This window comes from Homo sapiens, chromosome 11, assembly GCF_000001405.40.
Source record: "Homo sapiens chromosome 11, GRCh38.p14 Primary Assembly".
Classification (NCBI taxonomy): domain Eukaryota; kingdom Metazoa; phylum Chordata; class Mammalia; order Primates; family Hominidae; genus Homo; species Homo sapiens.
In genome coordinates this window covers 102,009,777-102,012,832 of record NC_000011.10, presented here as the reverse complement: position 1 = coordinate 102,012,832, position 3,056 = coordinate 102,009,777, and the positions used below count along the sequence as shown (strand labels likewise).

The following is a 3,056-nucleotide window of genomic DNA, read 5'->3' as shown; positions in this document are numbered from 1 at the left end:
ACCCACTCTCCACTCAGCATGGGGTTTTCCTTGCCATTCAGTGATTCCATCCCCAATCTCCACCTTTTAGCCTGCTTTCTTGGACTGTTCCTGGTACCAACTATGTCAGTTAAGTTCCTCTGAAAAGCAGATCTCAAGATGGAATTAGAGGTGTATGAGATTTATTGGGAAGAAACACCTGTGAAGGATAAAGGTTATGATGTTATGATGTGTGTCTGACACATGTGAAAAGAGCATGGGAAGGAAGAAGTAGCTCTGAAAAAGGAAGTCTTGCCCAGGCCTATTGAGGCACCCATATGTAAAGACTATCCACCAGAGAAGTCCCTCACTGGTTAAGAATTGTCTGTTTCTGGGACACCCACAATTTTCCACAGTCTTCCACAATGTTCAGTCACTGGGAACAGTCTGCGGGGAGAAAGGCATTGATGTGAACACCATGGTGGATGCAGGAGGTACAGCAGGTAGGGGCTGTCAGCCAACAGTCTCTTTTGCGCAGGTTATCTCTTGAAAGGAAATCTGAGCGGTGCGTGTTCATAACTACCATAGCTATTGTAGCTTGATACAACGCCTGCTTTGCTGTAAATCAGGTTTATTTGCAAGAGTTTTTATTTATTTTTATATGTATTTTGATTTTTAATATGTACTTTATTGATTTTTATATGTATCTTGTGCCAGTACCACATTATCTTAATTATAAGAGCTTTTGCTGGGTGCCATGGCTCACGCCTGTAATCCCAACACTTTGGGAGGCTGAGGTTGATGGATCACTTGAGGCCAGAAGTTTGAGACCAGCCTGGCCAACATGGCAAAATGCTGTTTCCACTAAAAATACAAAAATTAGCCTGGCGTGGTGGTGCATGCCTATAATCCCAGCTACTTGGGTGGCTGAGGCAGGAAAATCACTCGAACCCGGGAGGTGGAGGTTGCAGTGAGCTGAGATAGTGCCACTGCACTCCAGCGTGGGTGACAGAGCAAGATTCTGTGTCAAAAAAAGGAGAGAAAAACAAAAAGTCTTGTTATTTGATAGGGCAAGTACCTCCACGTTAGTCTTCGGACACAGGTGTATCTGGGCTATTCTTGTTCTTTCCTCTTTCACATAAATTTTTAGATCATCTTGTCAAATTCCACAAACAGGCCTTGAGTGTTTTAGTTGGAATTGCATTGAATGTTTAATATCAATGGGAGGAACTGACATGATATTGAGTTTTCAAATCCAAGGATATGGTATATACATCCATTTATTTAAATCTTTTAAAATGTCTTTCAATATTTTAATCTTTTTTCCAGAAAAGGCTTGCATATCTTTTTAAAGATTCAGAGTTGGCATTTTAAATTTGGTTATTTTTGTAAATGGTATCTTTTAAAAAGTTACAAATTTTTTTTTTTGGTCGTTTCTTGCTGGTGTGCAGTCGTGCCTTTCAAAACGGACCTACCTTGAGGCAAAGGGGCCAGGACTTCATGCCCCACATCAACCAGGCATTGGATAAGGGCGGCCCTCAGGGACTGGGTGTGGCCCCGTGTGAGGAGTCTCTTGGCCTGCGGGAAATGCCTGGAGAGTGACTCAGCTGAGAGCTGTCAGCCGCCGACATTCCTGTCAGCTGGGGAAAGACTCCTCAGGTCCTGACGGGACTATCTCAGCAGCAAGCCCTCAGCAACCACTAAATGCCTTCTAATGGGTTAAAGAAATTCTCGTTTATTCATAGTTTTAAAGTTAAATGTTCCTGCTTTGGCAAAAGAAGGAGAGTGGTCCAGCTGTCTTGCATGACATTTGGATCTGGGGTTTAACTGTTTGTCTAACAGACTTCCAACTAATCATTACTGTTTCAGTCTTACCTTTACCCCCAGTTTGCAGAACTACCGGATGACTTTCAAACCTGGGCCTTTCTGGTTTTGCAGGAAAGACTGGCTTGCTTTAGGCTTCCCCTACTGCCAGCATAGGTTTTAGCTTTCTTTGATTATCTAAATCAGTTACCACTTCATCACCTGCTTTCTAACCTTCCAAGTTTTGGCGCTGTCTTCCCTTGTTTTCTCTTTGTCTTGTACTCCCTCCTTTTATTTTATTATTACTTACAACAATTGAGACATCTAGGGTATCTCTTTCTCTGTTTTTTTGAGACAGAGTCTCACTCTGTCGCCCAGGCTGTCGTGCAGTGGCGCGATCTCGGCTCACTGCAACCTCTGCCTTCCGGGTCCAACCGAATCTCCTGCCTCAGCCTCCCGAGTAGCTGGGATTACAGGTGCCTGACACCACGCCTGGATAATTTTTTTGTATTTTCAGTAGAGACGGGGTTTCACTAGGTTGGCCAGGCTGGTCTCAAACTCCTGACTTCAGGTGATCCGTCTGCCTCAGCCTCCCAAAGTGCTGAGATTACAGGCATGACCCACCGTGCCTGGCTGCTATCTGTCCTTTTTAATCCTTGTGATTTAAGTAGGGCTTCAGGAAAGAGCAGAGGTATAATAATGCTTCCAATTGCTCTCTTGCCTGAAAGCCCTGTTTGATTTGGAGATTTATGAAGTATGGGCAAAGCAGGCTGAGTTTGACACATGCTGTTTCTAATGCCTGAAATTACATCCTCTTCCATCCTTGCTTGTCTAACCCATCCTTCAGCCCTCACTTTGGTAGTCACATTTTCCAGAAAGCCTGCCTTCACAGCCCAAGTCCTGGATTAGATGGCCCTTCTAGGCAATCTCATTATAATCTGTGTTCACTCACACTTTGCTGTAATTGCCTGTTTGCCGGTCTTTAAGATCTCATAGGCTAAATGTTTTGATTAGTGGGATTGTATTTGATCTCTATTGGAGTCCCTGGTCCCAAGCATAGAGATGATTTAAGAGGTACTCAGTAAAGTTGTATTGAGTGAATACGTATTACATAGCTTTGAATTGATTTCTGATCAATGCAGTAACTTACAAAGTTCTCACTTTCTGCAAATATTTTTTTCATTCTTTCTTTGCTGGGCTGGAGAAACCAAAAAGGCAAAATACTAGTTTTATTTCCGTGGACATTGGAAGCTTTAACTAATGTCATTTAAAAAGTACTTGGATTTCATCTTTAA

At 42.9% G+C, this 3,056-nt stretch overlaps 2 annotated features.

The window, feature by feature from the left end:
• Positions 711-1,910: an enhancer, noted in NCBI's record as "MED14-independent group 3 enhancer chr11:101881654-101882853 (GRCh37/hg19 assembly coordinates)". NCBI's record gives its function as "activates an origin of replication core promoter dependent on BRD2, BRD4, P300/CBP and CDK7 cofactors, and independent of MED14, by STARR-seq in HCT116 cells {active_cell/tissue: HCT116}" and the evidence as "EXISTENCE:reporter gene assay evidence [ECO:0000049][PMID:35650434]".
• Positions 2,196-2,822: an enhancer, noted in NCBI's record as "H3K27ac-H3K4me1 hESC enhancer chr11:101880742-101881368 (GRCh37/hg19 assembly coordinates)". NCBI's record gives its function as "activates a minimal SCP1, AML or CMV promoter by ChIP-STARR-seq in naive H9 embryonic stem cells {active_cell/tissue: H9 hESC(naive)}" and the evidence as "EXISTENCE:reporter gene assay evidence [ECO:0000049][PMID:30033119]".